The following is a 27507-nucleotide window of genomic DNA, read 5'->3' on the forward strand; positions in this document are numbered from 1 at the left end:
CTCCTGGGAGAGGCGGTTCTGGAGGAATGCCTGGCCACTGCGCTTTAGCCGTTTGGAAGTTCTTGTGTGCTGGAGATTTGGCTGGGGTTTGTCTCACAGTGGAGGCAAGGAATTGCAACTGAGAAATATGTTGCTACTTGGCTGCCTCTGCTCTATTATTGTACACCTTGAAGGCGAGGTTAATTAAGTCCTGTTGTGGGATTTGAGGGCCGGAATTTAATTTTTGGAGTTTTATTTAATGTCGGGAGCAGACTGGGTAATAAAATGTATATTGAGAATAAGACGGCCTTTTGACCTTTTAGGGTCTAGGGCTGTAAGGCAACTCAGGGTTGCTGCCAAACGAGTCATGAACGGGGCTGGATTTTTAAATTTGATGAAAAAGAGCCTAAACGCTATCTGATTTGAGAAAAAGAAAAAGGAGCATTAACCTTGACTATGCCTTTAGCTCCAGCCACCTTTTTAAGACGAAATTGCTGGGCAGGTTGGGGAGGGCTGGTCACAGAATTAAACTGCAAGCCAGATCCAGTGTGAGGAGGGGAGGTGATAAAAGGATTATAGGGTGGAGGAGCAGAGGCTGAGGAAGAATTGGGAGCTAGCTCAGCCTGGCGAGGAGGGGAGAGGTCAGATGGGTCTGTAGAAAAGGAAGATTAGAAAGACTCAGCGACACTAGGGGTTGGGACTGAGGGGACAGGTGGGAGGGAAAGAAGGAAGATTTGGGATGAGTTGCATTGGGAACAGAGACTAGGGAGGGACCAATGTGTAAGAGAATACCTGGACATCAGGCATCTCAGACCATTTGCTCATTTTATGACTAGAATTATCTAGATATTGTAGGATGGAAAATTTGAAAGTGCCGTTTTCTGGCTATTTGAAACCACTGTTGGGTTTGTATTGGGGTCAAGCGGCATTGTAGAAGAAAATAAGGCATTTAGGTTTTAGGTCAGGTGTGAGTTGAAGAGGTTTTAGGTTTTGAAGAACACAGGCTAAGGAGAAGAAAGGGGAATGGAGGATGGAAGCTTGCCCATAGTGAAGGAGGCAAGCCTAGAGAAAAGAGACAGTAGAGACATGGAGAGAAGGGATGGGGGGTTCTTGCCTTCCAGAAAAGAGGGAAAGGGGTTGGGGCACAGAAATAAAAGGTTGGGGTGCAGAGATAAGAGGTCAGGTTGTGGAAATAAGGGATCGGGGCTCAGAAATAAGAGGGCGGGCATGGAAATAAGGGATCAGGGCACAGAGATAAGAGGTCAGGGCATGAAAATAAGGTATCGGGGTGCAGAGATAAGAGGTCGGGGTTCTTGCCCCTCCCCCAGAAAAGCAGGACTTGCTGCTAAGGGTGAAGGACCAAGGCAGGCATCCCTGCGTGGTCTGACACCTCTGAAACCTGGGTGAATAATCAGAGAGGCGTCCCTGCAATGATTAAACACCAAGGGAAGGCTGCCTTCCCTAGTCCATGACCAGCGCCGGAGTTTCGGGTCCACGGATAAAACGTGTCTCCTTTGTCTCTACCAGAAAATGAAAGGAATTGAAATTAAGAGAAGGGAGATATTGAAGTGTGATGCCAAGATTGGAAGGAGAAAGAGGTTGAGGGATAGTGAGGGAGGTTGGAGAAGAGAGTAAAAAGAAGCCGCTTACCAGATTTGAAATTGGTGAGATGTTGCTTGGGCTGGTCAGTCTGAGGACCTGAGGTCGTAGGTGGATCTTTCTCACAGAGCAAAGAGCAGGAGGACAGGGGATTGATCTCCCAAGGGAGGTCCCCCGATCTGAGTCACAGCACCTAATTTCACATGCATCTGTGTGAAGAGACCACCAAAGAGGCTTTGTGTGAGCAATAAAACTGTTTATGTCACCTGCGTACAGGTGGGCTGAGTCCAAAAAGAGAGTCAGTGAAGGGAGATAGGGGTGGGGCCATTTTACAGGATTTGGGTAGGTAAAGGAAAAAGGGGGGTTGTTCTCTGGCAGGCAGGAGTGGGGGTCACAAGGTGCTCAGTAGGGGGGCTTTTGAGCCAGGATGAGCAAGGAGAAGGAATTTCACAAGATAATGTCATCAGTTAAGGCAGGAACTGGCCACCTGGGTATGTACATGCAGGTCACAGTGGATATGATGGCTTAGCTTGGGCTCAGAGGCCTGACACTCTTCCTCCAGAGGAGGAGACCCAGACAGAAGAGGAGGAGGCAAGGTGATCACAGAGGCAAAGAATGGATCATGCAGCCACAAGTTGAGGAATTCTAGTAGCCTCTACAAGCTGGAAGAGGCAAGGAATGGATTCACCTCTAGAACCTCTGAAGAAGCATGCTCCTGCTGACATTTGATTGATTTTGGACTTCTGGCTTCCAGACAATTTTTTTTTTTTTTTTTTTTTTTTAGACAGAGGCTTGCTCTGTTGCCCAGTCTGGAGTGCAGTGGCACGATCTCAGTTCACTGCAACCTCCGCCTCCCAGGCTCAAGCCATTCTCTTGCCTCAGCCTCCCAAGAAGCAGGGACTACAGGTGCCTGCCACCATGCATGGCTAATTTTTGTATTTTTAGTAGAGACGAGGTTTTGGCATAGTGGCCAGGCTGGTCTCGAATTCCTGGCCTCAAGTGATCCACCCACCTCAGCCTCCCAAAGTGCTGAGATTATTTAGGTGTGAGCCACGGCACCCGGCCCAGACATTGTTTGAAGCCACCCATTTCATGGTTCTTTGCTGCAGTGGTTGTGGAATATGAATGAACTCGTGCTGTTGGTTAGACTTTGCTGCCCTTGTGTCTGTTATTCCCTGGCAGTTCTACAAGGCCTGGAGCTGATACGAAAAACCTCCCTTCTTTCCCTAATGGTCCCCAGCTTCCCCGTTCACTGAAGGCCCTGCAGTCAGGAACAGTCAGGACTTTGCACCCAGTTGTTGTGGGTGTTTGGCCGACCCTTCCTCTAGTGTGATTCATGGACCCACAGCATTGCGTCACCAGGGAGCTTTTGGAATTGAAGACTCTCAGGGCTCACCCGGAAGGACCTGCTGGGCCAGAATCTGCATTTTAACAAGATGCCCACGTGATTTGCATACACGTTCAGATCTGAGAAGCGCTAGTAGGAGAGGCTTTAAGGTGGTAATTAGATCTTTTCTCCACCTGCAAGAATCTTAGTTTCTTCATGTTAAATCAATTAAGTGTGGCAATGTCATGGGTGTTATAAAACAAAACAAAATCCTTACATCAAGAATGCACCCTGGCGTGTTATGGATGTGGGTGAAATGAAATGTCTGGAATTTGCTTTAAAATATCCTAAAATAGCAAGAAGGAAAAGAAAAGTGGGAACTGGAATGAGATTGGCGAAATGTTGACAAGTTCTTGCAGTGGGATGATGGGTGCATGGGGGTTCATCGTGCAATTCTCTCCCTGCTTTTTGTGCGTATGGGAAATTTCCATAATGAAAAGTTAGAGGTCGGGCACGGTGGCTCATGCCTGTAATCTCAGCATTTTGGGAGGCTGAGGTGGGTAGATTGCTTGAACCTAGGAGTTCAAGACCATCCTGGACAACATGGTGAAACCCCATCTCTACTAAAAATGCAAAAATTAGGCATGGTGACAACATGCCTGTAGTCATGTTGAGGTAAGAGTTTGAGATATGAGAATCACTTGAACCCAGGAGGCGGAGGTTGCAGTGAGTGGAGATCGCAGCATTTCACTCCAGCCTGGGTGACAGAGTGAGACTTGGTCTCAAAAAAATTTTCAATTTTCTTTTTTTTTTGAGATAGGGTCTTGCTTTTTTGCCCAGGCTGGAGTGTAGTGGGGTGATCTTGGCTCACTGCAAGCTCCACCTCCCGAGTTCACTCCATTCTTCTGCCTCAGCCTCCAGAGTAGCTGGGACTATAGGCACCCAGCACCATATCCGGCTAATTGTTTGTATTTTTAGTAGAGATGGGGTTTCACCGTGTTAGCCAGGATGGTCTCAATCTCCTGACCTCGTGATCTGCCCACCTTGGCCTCCCAAAGTGCTAGGATTACGGGCATGAGCAATCGTGCCCGGCCTTAATTTTGTTTAATTTTTTTCTTTTTTGAGACAAGATCTGTAGCCCAGGCTGGAGTGCAGTGGTGCAATCCCGGCTCACTGCAGCCTCTACCTCCTGGGTTCAAGCGATCCTCCCACCTCAGCCTCCCGAGTAGCTGAGACCACAGGCGTGTATCATCACACCTGGCTAATTTTTTTCCCTTTTTCTAGAGGCAAGGTCTTGCTATTTTGCCCAGGCTGGTCTTGAACTCCTGAGTTCAAGCAATTTTCCCGTCTCAGCCTGGGAGTAATCCCAAAGTGCTGGGATTACAGGTGTGATTCACTCTATCCAGCCTCAACTGTTTTTCATGACTCCACTTTTTCTCCCCTCTTGGAAATGAGTAGTCTTTGAGGGAATGTCATTTTGTCTCAATCTCTGGTTTCTTTGCTCAGTGCAGCTGTGTTTGGGGCTTTGTTGATCTCCAGGCCTTTTTCAGCAGCGTTGTCCCTGGAGAGCAGGATGGGAGCTGATGGCTTCTCAGCATCTTTTAACCTCAGTTTAAAGATGACTATCAACAACATCTAGTCAGCATCTGTTGCTCTCGGCAGCTGGGACTTCATTTCCTTTCTCTTTCTCCACCTCTCTAACCTCTTTAAGACTCTGGCTTTGTCAGGGGTACAGCATCACCTGTGTGGCCCTTAGGCTCTCTTACTTACATGTGATCTGCGTATTATGTCTTTACTTCAGGGCTTCTCAGCCAGGGGGTGATTTTGCCCCCCAGAGAACATGTGGCCATGTCTGGAGACAATTTTGGTGGTTGCGGCTGGAGGAGGTGGTGCTACTGGCAGCTAATGGGTAGAGGCCAGGGATGCTACTAAACATCCTACAATGCCCCGGACAACTCCCACTAAGACAAAAGAATGATCCAGCCCCAAATGTCAATAGTGCTGAAAGTGAGAGACCCTGATTCCATCTTAGAGATCATCCAAGCACACTTGGCCAAATTGTTTTTGCTACTGTCCCATGAAGAAAAGGCAGACTCATGACTGATGGCAACATCGATGGGAGTTTTGCTTACCTCTTCTTTGTGGACTTTGGGATACGATGACTTACCGTTTGTGCAAGTTGTGCATTACATACCTCCAGGGGGCGCCACCCACATATTTATGAAAATGCCACCCCAGGAATTGCACAGTACATAGTCTACGTGGCAATAAGCAGTTGCTCTGGTTTTGGGGTTGCCCTGGGGTGCTCTGGAACTGGGAGGAATTTTATCTCTGGCCATTAGAGGCCCTGAGCGTGACATTGAGTATCCTTTCAAGAAAGGAGAAATGTTGAACAGAGAGGACCTCATTTTTATAACTCTTGACCATCATCTAGTTACGGAGCGTCCACTTTTCTCCCCTGGGCCATATCCATTTGACGGATGAAAAATCATCAAATTATAATATCATGGCTTATACTTTTGATAGATTCTGCCCGGAACATGGCGGTAAGAGCTTCTCATTTTCAATTGATTCATTGGGGGAGAGAATATACACAGCTGTCCTAAGACTTTCAATGACACACCATTTGCTTGATGGGATTTCTTTAGTTTCTGTAGCATAACTTATTCTAACTGGTCCTCAATCACTTTGCAATAAAACCTGAGATTGTGAAGATGTTCATTGTCATTACCAGTGATGGAGCAGTAAGTACAGAGTTCTGGAGAGAGAAGGAATTGAGAGAGTTAAACTAGCAGAATGAGCCGCTCACCCTCAGAATTGCTTTTAATCTTGGTGAGAACTGAGGGGAATTTTGACAGGGTTCAGGGAGACTGCGGGGAGTGGGGCTGGGAGGTGGCTGTTTGCACGTGTGGTCAGCAAATCCAGTGAGGGGTTCATGTACTGTGGGCAGCCCCGCAGATGGAGTTGGGATTGCCCTGGACTGAGTACTGTGTCATCAGTACTCAAGACATCGAGGCCCAGGCTGGTGCAGGAGATACATTGCACTGTGTCAGCCTTTCTTCTATCGCTGCTCTCCAATGACAGTCCCCGATTTTCCACTGAGGAGTCACTAGTCCCCCATGGCATGTGTGCCACTGGCTATTCCCCACCCTGATCTGGAGCTGGGGCATGTGGTCCCAGCCTGGATGCCAGTGTCCTTCCACCACCCTGGCCACAGTGATTGGGTCTGAGAAGCAGATTAGCCAAAGGAGAGACAATCTTGGAAATTTCATGTTCATGCTTAAGAAAGTAAAATGGAAAGCGGGGGGAGGGTGAGGGGTCATTCTGATGATATAGTTTTAGGACCTGGATGTAGCCACACCTGTAGCTGTCAACTCTGTGCTATAGTACTGCTTTTTTTTTTTTCCTTCCAATTTAAATACTTTCTAAAGGCAAGATCTTGCTATGTTGCTTAGGCTGGTTTTGAAAATTCCCTTTCGTGGGGATGCTTTCTCTGCTTCACTTCCTTTCTATGACAGCTCAGGGAATCAGAAGACAAGGGAGATGCCTTTTTTTTTTTTTTTTTTTTTTTGAGACAGGGCTTGCTCTATTGCCCAGGCTGGAGTGCAGGGTTGCAATCACAGCTCGCCACAGCCTTGATCTTCTGGACTCAAGCGACCCTCCTGCTTCAGCCTCCTGAGTAGCTGGGACTGTAGGTGGCTACCACCAAGCCCAGCTAATTAATTTTTTTTTTTTAGAAATGAGGTCTCACTATGTCACCCAGACTGGCCTCAAACTCCTGGGCTCAAGTGATCGTCCTACCTTAGCTTCCCAAACTTACAGGTGTGAGCCCCCACACCAGTCAACGCTGTGGTCTTATGCACCTGGTGTCCCCTACGCCCTGAGCAATGATCCTCCTGCTTCAACCTCCCAAAGTGCTGGGATAACAGATGTGAAGCAGCATGTGTGGTCCACATAGTATTCTTACGGGTTAAATTGAGTCCTCCTCAAAACATGTTGAAATCCTAAATTCCAGCAGCTCAGAATGTGACCTTATTTAGAAATAGAGTTATTGCGGACCGGGCGTGGTGGCTCATGCCTGTAATCCCAACACTTTGGGAGGTCGAGGCGGGTGGATCACCTGAGTTCAGGAGTTTGAGACCAGCCTGACCAACATGGAGAAACCCCATCTCTACGAAAAATTCAAAATTAGCTGGGTGTGGTGGCCCATACCTGTAATCCCAACTACTCGGGAGGCTGAGGCAGGAGAATCGCTTGAACCCAGGAGGCGGAGGTTGCATTGAGCTGAGACCGCGCTATTGCACTCCAGCCTGGGCAACAAGAGTGAAAGTCCCTCTCAAAAAAAAGAAAGAAAGAAAGAAATAAGGTTATTGCAGATGCTGTTGATTAGGATGAAGTCATCCTGGAGTAGGGAGGGCCTAAGTCAATGACTGGTGTCCTTATAAAAGAGGAGAGGACACACCGAGTCACAGAGACACAGGGAAGAAGGCCATGGATTGGACAGAAGATTGGACTGATGCGTATGCAAACCAAGGAACACTGAAGACTGCCAGGAAACCACAGAAAGCTAGGAAGAGGCAAGGCAGGAATCCCTGACAAGTACAGGAGGGAACGTGGCCCTGCTGGCACTTCCATTTCAGACTGCTGGCCACCAGAGCCACAAGACAATCAATTTCTCTGGTTTCAAGTCACCCAGCTTTTGGTACTTGGTTGTGGCAGCCCTAGGGAATGAATATAAGTACTTTCTTTCTTTTTTCTTTTTTTGAGACGGAGTCTCGATCTGTTGCCCAGGCTGGAGTGCAGTGGCGGGATCTCCGCTCACTGCAATCTCTGCCTCCTGGGTTCACGCCATTCTCGTGCCTCAGCCTCCCAAGTAGCTTGGACTACAGGCACCCGCCACCATGCCCAGCTAATTTTTTGTATTTTTAATAGAGAAGAGATTTCACCCTGTTAGCCAGGATGGTCTCCATCTCCTGACCTCGTGATCCGCCTGCCTCAGCCTCCCAAAGTGCTGGGATTACAGGCATGAGCCACCACACCCGGCCGAATATAAGTACGTTTAAATTAACTCTCCTCTTCTCTCCATCTTCTTCTAAATCATCATTTTTGCCTAAGCAACAGCTAGGGTCTAATACAGATGTGACGACTCACTTGAAAGTGGGGGAAGCCCCCATGTGCACCCAAAGCTCCTGCTGCCTTGGCCCTGGGTTCAGAGACTGGACCATCATTTTGGAGGCTTGCTGGAGATCTGAGCCAGGGCATCATTCTCTGTTGCCTTTAAACAAAGGCTGGTGCTCTCCCAGGCATGTGAGCTCCACCGAGGATCTATTTGGAGGGCAGAATTCTGAGATGACCCCTTAGGTTCTTGCCCTGGATAAATGCCAGGTGTAATCTCCTCTCCCCTGGAGTGTAGGCAGGACCCGCGTCTTGTTTCTAATCTATACCTATGGAAAAGTTGAAGGGATTTTGCAGATGTAACTAAGCCCCTAATCCATTCACTTTGAGTTAATCAAAAGGGAGATTATTCAGGGTGGGCCTGACATCTATAGGTGAGATCTTCAATGAGGGTCTGGAGGAGAGAGACTCCTTCCTCCTGGTTTTTGTTTGTTTATTTGTTTTTGACATGGAGTCTCACTCTGTTGCCCAGGCTGGAGTGCAGTGGCAAAATCTCGGCTTACTGCAACCTCTGCCTCCTGGGTTCAAGTGATTCTCCTGCCTCAGCTTCCCAAGTAGCTGGGATTACAGGCGTGCGCAATCATGCCCGGCTAAGTTTTGTATTTTTAGTAGAGACGGGGTTTCACCATATTGGCCAGGCTGGTCTCGAACTCCTGACCTCAGGTGATCCATCTGCCTCGGCCTCCGAAAGTGCTGGGATTACAGGCGTGAGCCACCATGCCTGGCTGGTTTTGAAGAAGCCAGCCACATGAGTTCCACAGTTGCATGGAAATAAATTCTGCCAACAACCATGTGAGGTTGGGAGAAGACCCCAAGCCTCATAGGAGACACTAATTCCCGCCAACACCTTGATCACAACCTTGTAAGAACCTGAGCAGAGGGCCCAGCTAAAGCTGCACCCCCAGACTCCTGACCCACAGGAAAGGAGAGGGAATAGATGGGTGTTTTAAGCTGCTAAATTTGTGTTGATTTGTTATGCAGCTTAGAAAATGAATACATCATTCCATTTTTAAAAAATCATAAGCTAATCACACCACTCGAATTCTTTTTTTTTTTTTTTTCTTTGAAACAGAGACTCACTCTATCGCCCAGGCTGGAGTGCAATGGTGCAATCTTGGCTCACTGTAACCTCTGCCTCCCAGGTTCAAGTGATTCCCTTGCCTCAGCCACCCAAGTAGCTGGGACTACAGGCATGCACAAACACACCCAGCTAATTTTTGTATTTTTAGTAGAGATGGAGTTTCACCATTTTGGCCAGGCTGGTCTCGAACTGCTGACCTCAAGTTACCTGCCTTCCTCAGCCTCCCAAAGTGCTGGGGTTACTGACATGAGCCACTGCACCTGGCCTGACGTACTATTCAATTTTAAGGAACTTCCAGGTTCTGTGGTCATGCCCCTCTTGTGTGGCATGCAGGTGGGGAGAGATGGGTTGGAAGATGACTGGATGGGGGCATGGAGTTAGGTGGGAAGAGGAAAAGTGTCTTGAAGGAAGTAAGTCCCTTCAGATAAGGGAGGGAGAAGCTTGATCAATATGCAGACTTTCACAGTCCTTCAGTCCTTGGGATATTGGAGGAGAGACAGGTCTTGCCTTATATTTGAGAGTTACCATCCCAGGCAGAGGCCCTACTTCCACCTTCTTGCATGTGGGGCTGGGGGGCAAATACTTAGAGGAGAAACGAACACCCTTTGTAAGTATGTGAAAAGTTTCTGGAGTGGAGAGATGATGAAGCAGGATATTTGGAGTCAACAGCAAAAGTTTTTATTTCATTTTTTATTTTTTATTATACTTTAAGTTTTAGGGTACATGTGTACAACGTGCAGGTTTGTTACATATGTATACATGTGCCTTGTTGGTGTGCTGTACCTATTAACTCGTCATTTCACATTAGGTATATCTCTTAATGCTATCCCTCCCTCCTCCACCGACCCCACAACAGGCCCCGGTGTGTGATATTCCCCTTCCTGTGTCCATGTGTTCTCATTGTTTAATTCCCACCTATGAGTGAGAACATGCGGTGTTTGGTTTTTCGTCCTTGCAATAGTTTGCTGAGAATGATGGTTTCCAGCTTCATCCATGTCCCTACAAAGGACATGAACTCATCATTTTTTATGGCTGCATAGTATTCCATGGTGTATATGTGCCACATTTTCCTAATGCAGTCTACTGTTGTTGGACATTTGGCTTGGTTCCAAGTCTTTGCTATTGTGAGTAGTGCTGCTATAAGCATACGTGTTCATGTGTCTTTATAGCAGCATGATTTATAATCCTTTGGGTATATACCCAGAAATGGGATGGCTGTGTCAAATGGTATTTCTAGTTCTAGATCCCTGAGGAATTGCCACACTGAATTCCACAATGGTTGAACTAGTTTACAGTCCCACCAACAGTGTAAAAGTGTTCCTATGTCCCCACATCCTCTCCAGCACCTGTTGTTTCCTGACTTGTTAATGATTGCCATTCTAACTGGTGTGAGATGGTATCTCATTGTTGTTTTGAGTTGCATTTCTCTGGCCAGTGATGATGAGCATTTTTTGACGTGTCTTTTGGCTGCATAAATGTCTGCTTTTGATAAGTGTCTTTTCATATCCTTCATCCAGTTTTTGATGGGTTGTTTGTTTTTTTCTTGTAAATTTGTTGGAGTTCATTGTAGATTCTTGATATTAGCCCTTTGTCAGATGAGTAGATTGCAAAAATTTTCTCCCATTCTGTAGGTTGCCTGTTCACTCTGATGGTAGTTTCTTTTGCTGTGCAGAACCTCTTTAGTTTAATTAGATCCCATTTGTTAATTTTGGCTTTTGTTGCCATTGCTTTTAGTGTTTTAGACATGAAGTCCTTGCCCAGGCCTATGTCCTGAATGGTATTGCTGAGGTTTTCTTCTAGGGTTTTTATGGTTTTAGGTCTAACATTTAAGTTTTTAATCCATCTTGAATTAATTTTTGTGTAAGGTGTAAGGAAGGGATCCAGTTTCAGCTTTCTACATATGGCTAGCCAGTTTTCCCAGCACCATATATTAAATAGGGAATCCTTTCCCCATTGCTTGTTTTTGTTAGGTTTGTCAAAGATCAGATGGTTGTAGATATGTGGCATTATTTCTGAGGGCTCTGTTCTGTTCCATTCGTCTATATCTCTGTTTTGGTACCAGTACCATGCTGTTTTGGTAACTGTAGCCTTGTAGTATAGTTTGAAGTCAGGTAGCATGATGCCTCTAGCTTTGTTCTTTTGGCTTAGGATTGACTTGGCAATGTGGGCTCTTTTTTGGTTCCATATGAACTTTAAAGCAGTTTTTTCCAATTCTGTGAAGAAAGTCATTGGTAACTTGATGGGGGGATGGCATTGAATCTATAAATTACCTTGGGCCGTATGGCCGTTTTCATGATATTGATTCTTCCTACTCATGAGCATGGAATGTTCTTCCATTTGTTTGTGTCCTGTTTTATTTTGTTGAGCAGTGGTTTATAGTTCTCCTTGAAGAGTTCCTTCACATCCCTTGTAAGTTAGATTCCTAGGTATTTTATTCTCTTTGAAGCAATTGTGAATGGGAGTTCACTCATGATTTGGCTGTTTGTCTGTTATTGGTATATTAGAATGCTTGTGATTTTTGCACATTGATTTTGTATCCTGAGACTTTGCTGAAGTTGCCTATCATCTTAAGGAGACTTTGGGCTGAGACAATGGGGTTTTCCAGATATACAATCATGTCATCTGCAAACAGGGACAATTTGACTTCCTCTTTTTTTAATTGAATACCCTTTATTTCCTTCTCCTGCCTGATTGCCCTGGCCAGAACTTCCAACACTATGTTGAATAGGAGTGGTGAGATACGGCATCCCTATCTTGTGCCAATTTTCAAAGAGAATGCTTCCAGTTTTTGCCCATTCAGTATGATATTGGCTGTGGGTTTGTCATAGATAGCTCTTATTATTTTGAGATACGTCCCATCAATACTTAATTTATTGAGAATTTTTAGCCTGAAGGTTGTTGAATTTTGTCACAGGACTTTTCTGCATCTAATGAGATAATCATATGGTTTTTGTCATTGGTTCTGTTTATATGCTGGATTATGTTTACTGATTTGTGTATGTCGAACCAATCTTGCATCCCAGGGAGGAAGCCCACTTGATCATGGTCATAAGCTTTTTGATGTGCTGCTGGATTCGGTTTGCCAGTATTTTATAGAGGATTTTTGCATTGATATTCATCGGGGATATTGGTCTAAAATTCTCTTTTTTGTTGTGTCTCTGCCAGGCTTTGGTATCAGGATGATGCTGGCCTCATAAAATGAGTTAGGGAGGATTCCCTCTTTTTCTATTGACTGGAATAGTTTCAGAAGGAATGGTACCAGCTCCTCCTTGTACCTCTGGTAGAATTCAGCTGTGAATCCGTCTGTTCCTGGACTTTTTTTTGGTTGGTAAGCTGTTAATTATTGCCTCAATTTCAGAGCCTGTTATTGGTCTATTCAGAGATTCAGCTTCTTCCTGGTTTAGTCTTGGGAGGGTATATGTGTCGAGGAATTTATCCATTTCTTCTAGATTGTCTAGTTTATTTGCGAAGAGTTGTTTACAGTATTCTCTGATGGTAGTTTGTATTTTTGTGGGATTGGTGGTGATATCCCCTTTATCAATTTTTATTGTGTCTATTTGATTCTTCTCTCTTTTCTTCTTTATTAGTCTTGCTAGTGGTCTATCAGTTTTTTTGATCTTTTCAAAAAACCAGCTCCTGGATTCATGGATTTTTTGAAGGGTTTTTGGTGTCTCTATTTACTTCCGTTCTGCTCTGATCTTAGTTATTCTTGCCTTCTGCTAGCTTTTGAATGTGTTTGCTCTTTGCTTCTGTAGTTCTTTTAATTGTGATGTTAGGGTGCCAATTTTAGATCTTTCCTGCTTTCTTTTGTGGGCATTTAGAGCTATAAATTTCCCTCTACACACTGCTTTGAATGTGTCTGAGAGATTCTGGTACTTTGTGTCTTTGTTCTCATTGGTTTCAAAGAACATCTTTATTTCTGCCTTCATTTAGTTATGTACCCATAGTCATTCAGGAGCAGGTTGTTCAGTTTTCATGTAGTTGAGCAGTTTTGAGTGAGTTTCTTAATCCTGAGTTCTAGTTGGATTGCACTGTGGTCTGAGAGACAGTTTGTTATAATTTCTGTTGTTTTACATTTGCTGAGGAGTGCTTCACTTCCAAATATGTGGTCAATTTTGGAATAAGTGCAGTGTGGTGCTGAGAAGAATGTATATTCTGTTGATTTGGGGTGGAGAGTTCTGTAGATGTCTATTAGGTCCGCTTGGTGAAGAGCTGAGTTCAATTCCTAAATATCCTTGTTAACTTTCTGTCTCCTTGATCTGTCTAATGTTGACAGTGGGGTGTTAAAATCTCCCATTATTATTTTGTGGGAGTCTAAGTCTCTTTGTAGGCCTCTAAAGACTTGCTTTATGAATCTGGGTGCTCCTGTGTTGGGTGCATATATATTTAGGATAGTTAGCTCTTCTTGTTGAATTGATCTCTTTACCATTATGTAATGGCCTTCTTTGTCTCTTTTGATCTTTGTTGGTTTAAAGTCTGTTTTATCAGAGACTAGGATTGCAACACTTGCCTTTTTTTTGTTTTCCATTTGCTTGGTAGATCTTCCTCCATCCCTTTATTTTGAGCCTAGGTGTGTCTCTGCACATGAGATGGGTTTTCTGAATACAGCACACTGATGGGTCTTGACTCTTTATCCAATTTGCCAGTCTGTCTTTTAATCGGAGAATTTACCCATTGACATTTAAGGTTAATATTGTTATGTGTGAATTTGATCCTGTCATTATGATGTTAGCTGGTTATTTCGCTCATTAGTTGCAGTTTCTTCCTAGCCTTGATGGTCTTTACAATTTGGCATGTGGCTGGTACCAATTTGCAGTGGCTGGTACCAGTTGTTCCTTTCCATGTTCAGTGCTTCCTTCAGGAGCTCTTGCAGGGCAGGCCTGGTAGTGACAAAATCTCTCAGCATTTGCTTGTCTGTAAAGTATTTTATTTTTCCTTCGCTTATGAAGCTTAGTTTGGCTGGATATGAGATTCTGGGTTGAAAATTCTTTTCTTTTTTTTTTTCTACAGTGATGACTTTATTTTATTTTTTTATATTTCTTTTTTAAAATTAATTAATTAATTAATTAATTTATTTTTTAATTGATCATTTTTGGGTGTTTCTCGCAGAGGGGGATTTGGCAGGGTCATAGGACAATAGTGGAGGGAAGGTCAGCAGATAAACAAGTGAACAAAGGTCTCTGGTTTTCCTAGGCAGAGGACCCTGCGGCCTTCCGCAGTGTTTGTGTCCCTGGGTACTTGAGATTAGGGAGTGGTGATGACTCTTAACGAGCATGCTGCCTTCAAGCATCTGTTTAACAAAGCACATCTTGCACCGCCCTTAATCCATTTAACCCTGAGTGGACACAGCACATGTTTCAGAGAGCACAGGGTTGTGGGTAAGGTCACAGATCAACAGGATCCCAAGGCAGAAGAATTTTTCTTAGTACAGAACAAAATGAAAAGTCTCCCATGTCTACTTCTTTCTACACAGACACGGCAACCATCCGATTTCTCAATCTTTTCCCCACCTTTCCCCCCTTTCTATTCCACAAAACTGCCATTGTCATCATGGCCCGTTCTCAATGAGCTGTTGGGTACACCTCCCAGACGGGGTGGTGGCCGGGCAGAGGGGCTCCTCAATTCCCAGTAGGGGCGGCCGGGCAGAGGCGCCCCTCAACTCCCGGACGGGGCGGCTGGCCGGGCGGGGGGCTGACCCCCCCACCTCACTGCTGGATGGGGCGGCTGGCCGGGCGGGGGGCTGACCCCCCCCACCTCCCTCCTGGATGGGGTGCTGGTCGGGCGGGGAGCTGACCCCCCCACCTCCCTCCCGGACGGGGCAGCTGGCCGGGCAGAGGGGCTCCTCACTTCCCAGTAGGGGTGGCCGGGCAGAGGCGCCCCTCACCTCCCGGACAGGGCGGCTGGCCGGGCGGGGGGCTGACCCCCCCACCTCCCTCCCAGACGGGGCGGCTGGCCGGGTGGGGGGCTGACCCCCCCACCTCCCTCCCGGACGGGGCGGCTAGCTGGGCGGGGGGTGACCCCTCCCACCTCCCTTCCGGACGGGGTGGCTGGCCTGGCGGGGGCTGACCCCCACCTCCCTCCCGGACGGGGTGGCTGCCCGGCGGAGACGCTCCTCACTTCCCAGACGGGGTGGCTGCCGGACGGAGGGGCTCCTCACTTCTCAGATGGGGCGGCCAGGCAGAGACGCTCCTCACCTCCCAGACGGGGTCACGGCCGGGCAGAGGCGCTCCTCACATCCCAGACGGGGCGGCGGGGCAGAGGCACTCCCCACGTTTCAGATGATGGGCAGCCGGGCAGAGACGCTCCTCATTTCCTAGATGGGATGGCGGCCGGGCAGAGACGCTCCTCACTTTCCAGACTGGGCAGCCAGGCAGAGGGGCTCCTCACATCCCAGACGATGGGCAGCCAGGCAGAGACGCTCCTCACTTCCCAGATGGGGTGGCGGCCCGGCAGAGGCTGCAATCTCCGCTCTTTGGGAGGCCAAGGCAGGTGGCTGGGAGGTGGTTGTAGCGAGCCGAGATCTCGCCACTGCACTCCAGCCTGGGCACCATTGAGCACTGAGTGAACGAGACTCCGTCTGCAATCCCGGCACCTTGCGAGGCCGAGGCTGGCGGATCACTCGCAGTTAGGAGCTGGAGACCAGCCCAGCCAACACAGCGAAACCCTGTCTCCACCAAAAAAATACGAAATCCAGTCAGGCGTGGAAGCGCGTGCCTGCAATCGCAGGCACTCGGCAGGCTGAGGCAGGAGAATCAGGCAGGGAGGTTGCAGTGAGCTGAGATGGCAGCAGCACAGTCCAGGTTTGACTCGGCATCAGAGGGAGACCGTGGGGAGAGGGAGAGGGAGAGGGAGAGGGAGAGGGAGAGGGAGAGCTACAGTGATGAAAATTCTTTTCTTTAAGAATGTTGAATATTGGCCCCCACTCTCTTCTGGCTTGTAGAGTTTCTGCCAAGAGATCAGCTGTTAGTCTGATGGGCTTCCATTTGTAGGTAACCCGACCTTTCTCTCTGGCTGCCCTTAACATTTTTTCCTTCATTTTAACTTTGGTGAATCTGACAATTATGTGTCTTGGAGTTGCTCTTCTTGAGGAGTGTCTTTGTGGCGTTCTCTGTATTTCCTTAAGTTGAATGTTGGCCTGCCTTGCTAGATTGGGGAAGTTCTCCTGCATAATATCCTGCAGAGTGTTTTCCAACTTGGTTCCATTCTCCTTGTCACTTTCAGGTACACCAATCAGATGTAGATTTGGTCTTTTCACATAGTCCCATATTTCTTGGAGACTTTGTTCATTTCTTTTTATTCTTTTTTCTCTAAACTTCTCTTCTCGCTTCATTTCATTCATTTCATGTTCCATCACTGATACCCTTTCTTCCAGTTGATCAAATTGGCTACTGAGGCTTGTGCATTTGTCACGTAGTTCTTCTGTCTTGGTTTTCAGCTCCATCAGGTCCTTTAAGGACTTCTCTGCATTGGTTATTCTAGTTAGCCATTCATCTAATTTTTTTTCAAGGTTTTTAGCTTCTTTGCCATGGGTTCAAACTTCCTCCTTTAGCTTAGAGTAATCTGATCATCTGAAGCCTTCTTCTCTCAACTCATCAAAGTCATTCTCTGTCCAGCTTTGTTCCATTGCTGGTGAGGAGCTGCATTCCTTTGGAGCAGGAGAGGCACTCTGATTTTTAGAGTTTCCAGTTTTTCTGTTCTGTTTTTTCCCCATCTTTGTGGTTTTATCTACCTTTGGTCTTTGATGATGGTGACGTACAGATGGGGTTTTAGTGTGGAAGTCCTTTCTGTTTGTTAGTTTTCCTTCTGAGAGTCAGGACCCTCAGCTGCATGTCTGTTGGAGTTTGCCTGGGTATCAGCAGTGGAGGCTGCAGAACAGCAGATATTGGTGAGCAGGAAATGTTGCTGCCTGATTGTTCCTCTGCAAGTTTTGTCTCAGAGGAGTACCCGGCCATGTGAGGTGTCAGTCTGCCCCTACTGTGGGGTGCCTCCCAGTTAGGCTACTCGGGGGTCAGGGACCCACTTGAGGAGGCAGTCTGTCCATTCTCAGATCTCCAGCTGTGTGCTGGGAGAACCACTACTCTCTTCAAAGCTGTCAGACAGGGATATTTAAGTCTGCAGAGGATTCTGCTGTCTTTTGTTTGCCAGTGCCCTGCCCTTAGAGGTGCAGTCTACAGATGCAGGCAGGCCTCCTTGAGCTGTGTTGGGCTCCACCCAGTTGGAGCTTCCCAGCTGCTTTGTTTACCTACTGAAGCCTAGGCAATGGCAGGCGCCCCTCCCCCAGCCTTGCTGTCACCTTGCAGTTTGATCTCAGACTGCTGTGCTAGCAATGAGTGAGGCTCCATGGGTGTAGGGCCCTCTGAGCCAGGCATGGGATATAATCTCCTGGTGTGCCATTTGCTAAGACCATTGGAAAAGTGCAGTATTAGGGTGGAAGTGACCCGATTTTCCAGGTGCCGTCTGTGACCCATTTCTTTGACCTGGAAAGGGAATTCTCTGACCCCTTGCACTTCCTCGGTGAGGCAATGCCTCGCCCTGCTTGGACTCATGCTCACTGCACTGCACCAGGTGTCCTGCACCCACTTTCTGACACTCCCCAGTGAGATGAACCCAGTACCTCAGTTGGAAATGCAGAAATCACCTGTCTTCTGCGTCGCTCACTCCGGGAACTGTAGACTGGAGCTGTTCCTATTCTGCCATCTTGGCTCCACCTCCGCTATTATGATTCTTACACAGAGTCCTTTGCTTTTCAGCAGCCTCCTTTTCCTCCTTTTTAGGTTGGAATCCCTCTGTTTTAGTGGCCACTGGGATTCTGAAATGACCAGGTCTTTGTCTCAGAGACCTGACACATGCTCTTCCCTCTGCCTGGAACACATTTCCTTGTTCTGGTCCCCTGAGAACTCTTTCAGCTCAACTGCCCCATGCTCAGAGACCCCCTTTCTCCCTCTCTAGTTTGAAGCCAGTTTACTCCTGTAGTCTGCGCCTGGAAAACTCGTTTTCCTCCTTGATGCCTCCCGAGTTGTCACGGGATGTATGTGTCTGTTTGGGTGTCTGGTGTCTGTCTCCCCGACTGGACTGCATGCTCCTGGTGAGCTGGAGGGACTGGACTAACACAGGCCAAGACTCTGGGGCTGGAGGGAGCAGGGCAGAAGGCACAGGCAAAAGGCCTTTGTGATCCGGAAGGAAGTGAAGGAGAGGGAGAGAGATGAGAGAGGCTGGCAGAAGATGGGCCAGGCGCCAGGCTGTGTGGGATCTTTTGAGCCACAGAAAGACATTTGAATTCTCATGTAAGAGAACCAGAACACCATTGGAGGGTATGAGTCACCTCATCTAACTGAGCTCTGTAAATGTCAATGTTTTATTATTTTTATACAATTATTTAAAAGTGACTTTAGTTATTTACCTTTTTATTTTTATTACTTTTATTTTTTTTGAGACAAAATCTTTCTCTGTTGCCCAAACTGGAGTGCAATGGCATGATCTTGGCTCACTTCAACTTCAACCCCACAGGTTCAAGCGATTCTCCTGTATCAGACTCCCGAGTAGCTGTGGTTATAGGCATCTGCCACCAAGCCCAGCTTATTTTTGTATTTTTAGGATAGACGACGTTTCACCATGTTGGCCAGGCTGGTCTTGAACTCCTGACCTCAGGTGATCCACCCACCTCAGCCTCCCAAAGTGCTGGGATTACAGGGGTGAGTCACTGTGCCTGGCCCTATTTACTTTTTTAAAAAAGATCAGGCCAGGCATGGTAGCTCATGTCTCCAATCTCAGCACTTTGGGAAGCTGAGGTGGGATGTTCACTTGAGGCCAGGAATTCAAAACCAGCCTAGGCAACATAGTGAGACACCCCCTGCCCCAATTCCTAAGAAAATGAGAAAATTAGACACGGTGGCTTGTCTGTATCCCCAGCTACTGGGGAGCCTGAGCTAGGGAGGACTGCTTGACACCAGGAGTTTGAGGCTCCACTGAGCTGTGATTATGCCACAGTCTGGGCAACAGAGTGAGACCCCGGAGCCTCCTCAGCCTCCCTAGAGCTGACCGAGCTTTTGCTTCTTATCACAGGGAATGACGGACGCTGGGGCTTTGATGGGCATCGGGTGAAATGGGCAGAGTGGCGCTTACCTGTGATGGCAGTGAAGTGGGACGGGGAGGTCATTGTGACAAGGGGTGGCATGAGGTACTTGGCCTTGACGCCCTCCTCGGCCAGATGGTCCAGGTTGGGGGTGTCCACATCCTCATCCTAGTTCCAGCGGAAGCCCTGGAAGGTGATCAGCAGCAGCTGTGAGTGCTCTTCTTCCCTGGGACGGGGTGGCCACCCAGTAGGACAGGCGGCGGCAGCAGCAGCTGGAGGGCACCGAGCCATGTCATCCTACAAGCACCTGTCATGCACTCCTCACAGAGTTCATGGGCTTCGCCCTCTTTAGTCCGTTGTTGAACAAAGTCCACATTAATAATTCAGCCCAGCTCTGTTGTGGGACAGACAACCTGGAGTGAAGCAAGGTGCTGCATATTTGCAGGACAGGATGAAAGCGTTCTGGGGTTGGATGGGGGACATGGTTGTACAATGTGGTGGACGCACTTAACACCACTGAATTTTTCCTTTGAAAATGGCTAAAATAATAGATTTTGTATGTACTTTACCACAATAAAAAATCAAACTGGCCGGACATGGTGGCTTACACCTGTAATCCCAGCACTTTGGGACGCCAAGATGGGTAGATCATTTGAGGTCAGGAGTTCAAGACCAGCCTGGCCCATGGAGAAATCCCATCTCTACTAAAAATGCAAAAATTAGCCGGGCGTGGTGGTACATGTCTGTAATCCCAGCTACTTGGGAGGCTGAGGCTGGAGAATTGCTTGAACCCGGGAGGCGGAGGTTGCAGTGAGCCGAGATTGTGCCACTGTATTCTAACCTGGACGATGGAACGAGACTGCATCTCCAAAGAAAAAAAAAATCAAACTACATGAAATATTTTGGACTCTTATACTAATTCGCCACATGAAATATTTTGGACTCTTATACTAATTCCAACATTTTGAAGATCTGGGGAGAACAAACTAGATTGGTGCTTTCCTTGGCTTAGTATGTCCTGTTTTTATAGGGAGAGCAAATTTTTTTCACCAGCACTATTAAAATAGCTACAACAGGATGGGCATGGTGGCTCACACCTGTAATCCCAGCACTTTGGGAAGCTGAGGTGGGAGAATCGCTTGTGCCCGGGAGTTCAAGATGCCAGCCTGGGCAACATGGTGAGACCCTGCCACTACCAAAAAATACAAAAACAACAACAAAAACAGCTAGGTGTGGTTGTCTGCACCTGTAGTCCCAGCTACTTTAGAGGCTGAGGTGGGAGGATCACTTTTGTCCAGGAGGTTGAGGCTGCAATAAGCCATGATTATGCCACTGTACTCAGCCTGGGTGTCAGAGTGAGACCCTGTCTGGGGAAAAAAAAAAAAAAGCTGCAGTGGACTCAGTGACCATGAGGCCAGGCACTGTATACATATACGTCATCTCATTTAATTTTTTCTCTTGTTTAAAATTATTTTTTCCTCTAATCCCCATGTTGATCGACATTTTTTTAATCCTAGGAATATATTAGTTGAAAATTTCACATAAGAATTAAAAATTGCCTGGCCTGATGGCTTACACCTGTTATCCCAGCACTTTGGGAGGCTGAGATGAGAGAATCACTTGAATCCAGGAGTTTGGGCCAGTCTGGGCAATATAGTGAGAATGCAACTCTATAAAAAAAATTTAAAAAGCTGGGTGTGGTAGGATTCACCTGTAGTCCCAGAAACTTGGAAGACTAGGTGGGAGGATTGCTTGAGCCCAGGCGGTAAAGACAGCAGTGAGCTATGATTGTGCCATTGCACTGCAGCCTAGGTGACGGAGTGAGACTCTATCTCTAAAATAAATGAATAAAATTGTGGTATAACATATGCAACTTTTACCATTTTGTGCATCTGAAAGTGTACAATTCAGTGACATTTTGTACATTTATCATGTTGTGCAATTATCACCACTACCTAGTTTCAGGGCTTTTTCAACACCTCAATTGGAAGCCTCATATCCATTCAGCAGTCACTCTCCATGCCCTCTCCTCTGCAGCCCTCGGAAACCTCTCATCTACTTTCTACCTCTGTCGATTGGCTTAGTCTGAACATTGCATATAAATGGAATTGTACAATATATGACCTTTCATGTCTGCTTCTTTCACTCAGCATGTTTTTAACGTTCATCCATATCACAGCATGGATAAGTTTTATTTTCTTTTTAGACGCTATCTAAAAAGAAAAAAAAATTATAAAAAACAAAAATAAAAAATTATATAGGATGGAGATCAGATGAGTCCTGCAAAGTTTATAATATTTACTATCTAGCAGTTTACATAGAAGCTTGCCTACCTCTGAATGATATGCAGGTACAGAGATGACATTTATCTTGGCACTTATAGAAAGACCTATAAATTGTATAAAGACATCATCATTGGATTTCCAGTAACAAGAAGCGGCAAGACATGACAGTGTGTCCAGGTGTTCAGGTGAAGTTTAGGGAAGGTCTTGTCTTGACGAGGTCGGATGTGAGACCCAGATGAGATAACCCCATTTCCCCTGCTGAAATTGCCTGAGAATTTCATTCCAGTTATTTGCGTAGGTTGATTCTTTCGGTGGGGGTGGGGTGGGTGAGGAGGTGAAGTGTCAGGGGAGTTCTATTGTGTATTTGCACAACTTGGCTTTCTTTTCACTTGGTGTGGGGTTTTGCTGTCTGAGGAATTTCATAGAATTTTGTGATGAGTATGCAGCATAGTGGTTTGAATCCTGCCAGGCCGAGGGTCATATCTCAGCTCTGCAACTCATTATCTATGACGCCTTGGGGCAGGTCCCATAACTCCCCAAGCCTCTGTTATATATTCCATGGGGTTGTGAGGTTCAGATGAAATAATGCATGCTGGCGGGAATGGTTACTGCTCATGGGATTTCCATGTGCTCCCCGTATTCACCAGACCCCCAGTAGTTAGATGGATCCATGCCAGGGTCCAGTGCTCTATAAGTGGAAGTCACTGACTTCACCTCTAGTCTACAGCTTTTGAGGGCTTGGGGATAACTATCTCATTCTCTCATCTCATGGTGCAGTAACTATGGGAGAATCCTTGCATTAAGATGGTAGAATTTCCATCATTCTAGGTCTTCGAGTGGCCATATGGAGCACACCGTACCCAGCCAACCCATTGTGGACATGGAATGTAAGAAATCAACCTTGGTTGCTAAGCTGCTGAGTCTCTGTGGTTAATTTGTTACTGCAGCATAACCTAGTCCATCCTGATGCATGCAGCATGCAAACCACTTATGTTGACCCTTAGTCATGGTAAGTGCTCCACAGATGTTGGTTACTTTTGGTAGGAAGATAGATTGCCTCTGAAAGTTTTGTTAGCTGATCTCATGATGCCAATGTTGCTATTTTGTAATTGGATAAATTGGACTTGTCTCTCCTTCCAGCAGGTGGGAGAGAAAGATGACTGAGAGACAATAAAGCACTATTATCTTCAGTTTGTGTCCTTGGATACCCTTGGTGGCAATGAACAATGTATGCTCCTCTGAGAAAACTGGACTTAAATGAGAATGGGAGGTGATACCAGAATTGGGAACGTCCAAGGCCCCAGGCATTCCCTGGTCTGGAGACAACTTTGAGTCCTTGGTGGGAAGATTCTCCAAGGGAACATAAATGCTTTTACTATCTAGTTTGTCTCTTTGAGAATTAAAACATTTTTTTTTCATTCCAGTAGCTTCTGGGATACAGTTTGTCTCTTTGAGAATTGCATACTAATTAATTTTAGGGGTCATCTGTACACATCTCTATATTCCTGAAACATGGTAGAAACAGCCAGCAGTCAGACAACAATCTACCATGACCACTAAAACATCCCCAAAGTGAAACACCAGATGTGACCCACTAGGTTTAGTGGGGATGGCTGGCTCGAGAGTTGATTATATTTATTATTGTCACTGTGGTGATTATGGCCACAACATTGTGATGCGTGTTGGTCTTCTTTTGGTGAGTTGCAGTTTGGAAGGAATAAATCCATTATTTTTTTGTTTGAGTCTCGCTCTGTCGCCCAGGCTGGAGTACAGTGATGCCATCTCAGCGTGCTGTAAACTCTGCCTCCCAGGTTCAAGTGCTTCCCCTGCCTCTATGGCCAGGCTGGTCTTGAACTCCTGACCTCAGGTGATCCACCTGCCTCAGCCTCCCAAAGTGCTGGGATTACAGGCGTGAGCCACCATGCCCGGCCCTATTATTCATTTAACCAATATCTATTGAACACATTGGGTGTGGTGGAGGATGAACTGCTGACTATGTTTTCAAGTTGTCCTAATACTCCACTGTGGGACACGCAGGCTTGTGGGTCCCAGAGCTCCAGAAGCATCTTCTGACCGCACCATCCTGACCCAGATTCTACTGAAAAATACGTGAGTCTAGCAGAGCCATCTCTGACACTTCCCTTCTTTTGAACGGCTGATCTGTCAGTCATGGGGAGCTCTTATGAAAGTGTAGTGTGTTTTGTGAAACTTGAGGTTGGTCAAAGAATACCATTAAACTTTGTTAAGAAATCTACATATTGATGACATAGGCAGTGGGGTGGAGGTGGGAAAATTCCCAAATACATTTTAGGAATTATCTCAGAAGGAGGTAATAGTCAGAACTCTTGGTTGCCAGTGACAGAAACTCATCTTACTAGTGTGGAGTACAAAAGGGGTCATGTTTTTGTCTGCACTCCCCAACCCCAAGCAGATCCTGAAAGAGGGACAGGATTGCAAGTGGATTATTTAGGAGATGATTCCAGGGAACACCAATAGGGGAGTGAGGAACTGATTCATGGAAAGGCAGGAGGCCACACAGGGGCCTTCAATGAGCAGCTTACCACTCCAGGCAACTAGGATTTGACCCCACTGGGGACCTCTGGGAGGTGATGTGGAATGCATTTCAAAGTTGTTCCATCCAGGGGGCAAAGATATTGAAGCATTTATAGCCTAGCTCCCATCCGTCACTGGCTGAGGACAGGTCCCAGGGCATCAACTCTCTGGCTTTTCTTTTTTCTTTTTTTTTTTGAGACATAGTCTTGCTCTGTTACCCAGGCTGGACTGCAATGGCATGATCTCGGCTCACTGCAACATCTGCCTCCCAGGTTCAAACGATTCTCTTGCCTCAGCTTCCTGAGTAGTTGGGATTACAGGTGCCTGCCACCATGCCCTGCTATTTTTTTTATTTTTTGTAGAGACGGAGATTTGCCATGTTGATCAGTCTGGTCTCAAACTCCTGACCTCGTGATCCACCTGCTTCGGCCTCCCAGTGTTGGGATTACAGGAGTGAACCACTGTACCTGGCTTCTGTGGCTTTTCTGACATAATCCATGCCTGACTTTGAGAAAGCCCTCAGGTGAAAGTCTTGGTTGTATGTAGTAGCAAGCATGTACTAGAATGATAAAAACCAAGGGGTTTACCATAAGATCTCTCTCTCTATCTCTGTCTCTAGCTTTGTCTGCATACTGGCTTAATTTCTTCTTACTCAAGCTTTTTCTCCATAAGGTGAGAAACGTGGCCACAAAAGCTCCTATATTTCTCACTACACACAGTTCCTGTCATCACGGAGAATGATTAAATTGGTCTAGTTACAGTTTGGAAAAATATTCAAGGGAAGAATTCTGATTGGCCAATTTAGGCCAGATTCTCATCCCTGGACCAATCAACTGAGGCCAGAGGGGTGGAGTCATGTAAGAATATGGCAGCCCCTATGAGAGCCACGTGACTGGAGTAGGAAGTGTGAGTCTCTATAGAGGGGAGGGCTGCTAGGCTGAAAAGGCAATAGATGTCTGCAGTGAAAGGAATAGATCAGGAGATACATTCTGTTAAACCTGTTAATTATTTTTGAAAAAAGAGAAACTTTCAATATACAGTTATAGTATAAGTAAGCGGGTGGCTCACGCCTATAATCCCAGCACTTTGGGAGGCTGAGGTGGGCAGATCAGAGGTCAGGAGTTCGAGACCAACATGACCAACATGGTGAAACCCCGTCTTGTGTGCCTGTAATCCCAGCTACTCAGGAAGCTGAGGCAGGAGAATCACTTGAACCCAGAAGGCGGAGGTTGCAGTGAGCTGAGATCATGCCACTGCCCTCCAGCCTGGGCAACAGAGTGAGACTCGGTCTCAAAAAAAAAAAAAAAGTTACATTGTGGTTCCCACAGCATGATTTATCAGAAAGGAAAAACTTAAAATATGCGTATTTTCTATGCACAGGCTACTGCTATGAATTCAAATTCTTAAATTCCAAAGATTAACTAAAATGTTTCTCAAGACACATAAACTGTTAGAATCTGCTTATAATGAGGCTGAAGTTGAGTAAGAAGAGAACTGGCATTTGGGACCCTACTTTTCTTCTGTCGAGTACTGTCAAGTTTTGGTTCTGCCTGGAAGTAGATGCACCTCAAGGGAGGGTTACATGTAAAGTTGTGTGTGTGTGTGTGTGTGTGTGTGTGTGTGTGTATGGTAGTTTCCAAAGATGGGTACAACTTTCTGCAAATGCTCGTGCAGTGTAATCGAACCAATCTTTCCTTTAAGAGGTAGAGTTTATATTTCTCTACATAAATCTGGGCTGCCTATGACTTGCTTTGGCCAGTGGAATGCTGCCAAAGTGATGGTGACCAACTTCTAGCCGTGAAAGGAAAATAAACCTTGGGTCCCCAAGATCACTAAGCTAGGCTGGGCTCGGTGGCTCACACCTGTAATCCCAGCACTTTTGGGAAGCTGAGGCAGGCGGATCACCTGAGGTCAGGAGTTCCCAGCACTTTGGGAAGCTGAGGCGGGCAGATCACCTGAGGTCAGGAGTTCAAGACCAGCCTGGCCAACATGACAAAACCCCGTCTCTACTAAAATATATGAAAATTAGCCAGGCGTGGTGGCAGGCGCCTGTAATCCCAGCTACTTGGGATGCTGAGGCAGGGAAATTGCTTGAACACTGGAGTTGGAGGTTGCAGTAAGCCGAGATGGTACCACTGCACTCCAGCCTGCGCAACAGAGCGAGACTCTGTCCCCCCCAACAAAAAAAAGTTACTAAGCTAAAGAGAAAAGTCAAGCTGGGAACTGCTTAGGGGAAACCTGCCTCCCATTCTATTCAGTTACCCCTTTGCTCACTGAGATAAATGTATATCTGATTGCCTCATTTGGAGAGGCTAATCAGGAACTCAAAAGAATGCAACCATTTGTCTCTTAACTACCTATGACCTGGAAGCCCCTACCCCTTGTCTCACCATCACCTTCACCTGGACTTGTCCCGACTTTCCAGACTGAACCAATGTACATCTTACACATATTGATTGATGTCTCATGTCTCTCTAAAATGTATCAAACCAAGCTGTGTCCCCACCACCTTAGGCACATATTGTCAGGACCTCCTGAGGCTGTGTCAGGCGTGCGTCCTCAACCTTGGCAAAATAAACTTTCTCAATTAACTGAGACCTCAGATTTTTGGGGTGCATATAGTCTTAGGCCTTGAGAGCCCTCTCCTAGTTTCTATATTTTTGCCCTCTTGGATGCTGGCACCAAGCAAACCTTGGCTATCCTGCTTAAAGGGCCATTTGGAGAGGGGTTCTGCAGGGCGAGGGGCCACATGGAGGAAAACAAGTTTCCCCAGCTGACAGCCAGCACCAACTGCCAGGCACATGCATGAGGTCGTCCTGGATGTTCCACCCAGCTGGCCCTCCAGCTGCAGGTAGCCACACAAATGAGCCCCGGTTAAAACAGCCAGGAAGTCCCCATGCAACTCACAGGGTCATGAGCAATAATGACTTGAGGTGGTTTAAAGTTTCTAATTTTAGGTGCAATAGGTAACTGAAACAGCCCACAAGGGTTTGAGCCTGTGGAGGGTGCATTTCCCACCTGCTGAAGCTTCTCAATTCCCAGGATTCAATGCGGATAAGACTCTTGTTCTCAGTGTCCTTGATGGAAATGGCAATGAACTTTTTGCAGATTGGACCATCTCAGGGGAATCCCAAAGATCGGAAACTATTTTCTTTCTCAGAATCTTCCACACAACATTGAGCCTTAGGAATTTCTAAGAAGGATCTGGAATGAAAAAAAATCTTTTGAAAAGGTATTTGTATAGCTTCACTTCAGCAAGATTCATGGTGGGTGTTAGACTAAGTGCTGGTGTTAAGCCAAACCATGTTTTTCAAAGACTCATCTGGCCTCAAGGTTGGCAGGATCAGAGTGGCCTCCCAGGATCTACCACATCCTCAAAAGAGTTGGTTCAACTGGCATGTACCCAGATCTCTTTGAGCTAGTATGATACTCCCTT

General features: G+C 46.6%; 1 long non-coding RNA gene across 2 annotated transcripts, besides 2 other annotated features; it reads right to left on the reverse strand.

The window, feature by feature from the left end:
• Positions 1-1709: 1709 nt before the first annotated feature.
• LOC107986763 (uncharacterized) lies at positions 1710-27448 on the reverse strand. 2 transcript variants are annotated; one of them, XR_001745073.1, is made up of 3 exons: positions 27090-27448; positions 19284-19419; positions 1710-1787 (listed from the first exon to the last, which is right to left on the reverse strand). It is a non-coding gene; the product is annotated as an uncharacterized LOC107986763 (long non-coding RNA). The 2 variants fall into 2 exon arrangements; XR_001745074.2 differs by lacking the exon at positions 1710-1787 and adding an exon at positions 16500-17970.
• Positions 2601-3100: an enhancer, noted in NCBI's record as "H3K27ac hESC enhancer chr7:7002367-7002866 (GRCh37/hg19 assembly coordinates)". NCBI's record gives its function as "activates a minimal SCP1, AML or CMV promoter by ChIP-STARR-seq in naive and primed H9 embryonic stem cells {active_cell/tissue: H9 hESC(naive and primed)}" and the evidence as "EXISTENCE:reporter gene assay evidence [ECO:0000049][PMID:30033119]".
• Positions 14869-15591: an enhancer, noted in NCBI's record as "H3K27ac hESC enhancer chr7:7014635-7015357 (GRCh37/hg19 assembly coordinates)". NCBI's record gives its function as "activates a minimal SCP1, AML or CMV promoter by ChIP-STARR-seq in primed H9 embryonic stem cells {active_cell/tissue: H9 hESC(primed)}" and the evidence as "EXISTENCE:reporter gene assay evidence [ECO:0000049][PMID:30033119]".
• Positions 27449-27507: the final 59 nt, after the last annotated feature.

The sequence above is a fragment of the Homo sapiens genome, chromosome 7 (genome assembly GCF_000001405.40).
Source record: "Homo sapiens chromosome 7, GRCh38.p14 Primary Assembly".
Lineage (NCBI taxonomy): Eukaryota > Metazoa > Chordata > Mammalia > Primates > Hominidae > Homo > Homo sapiens.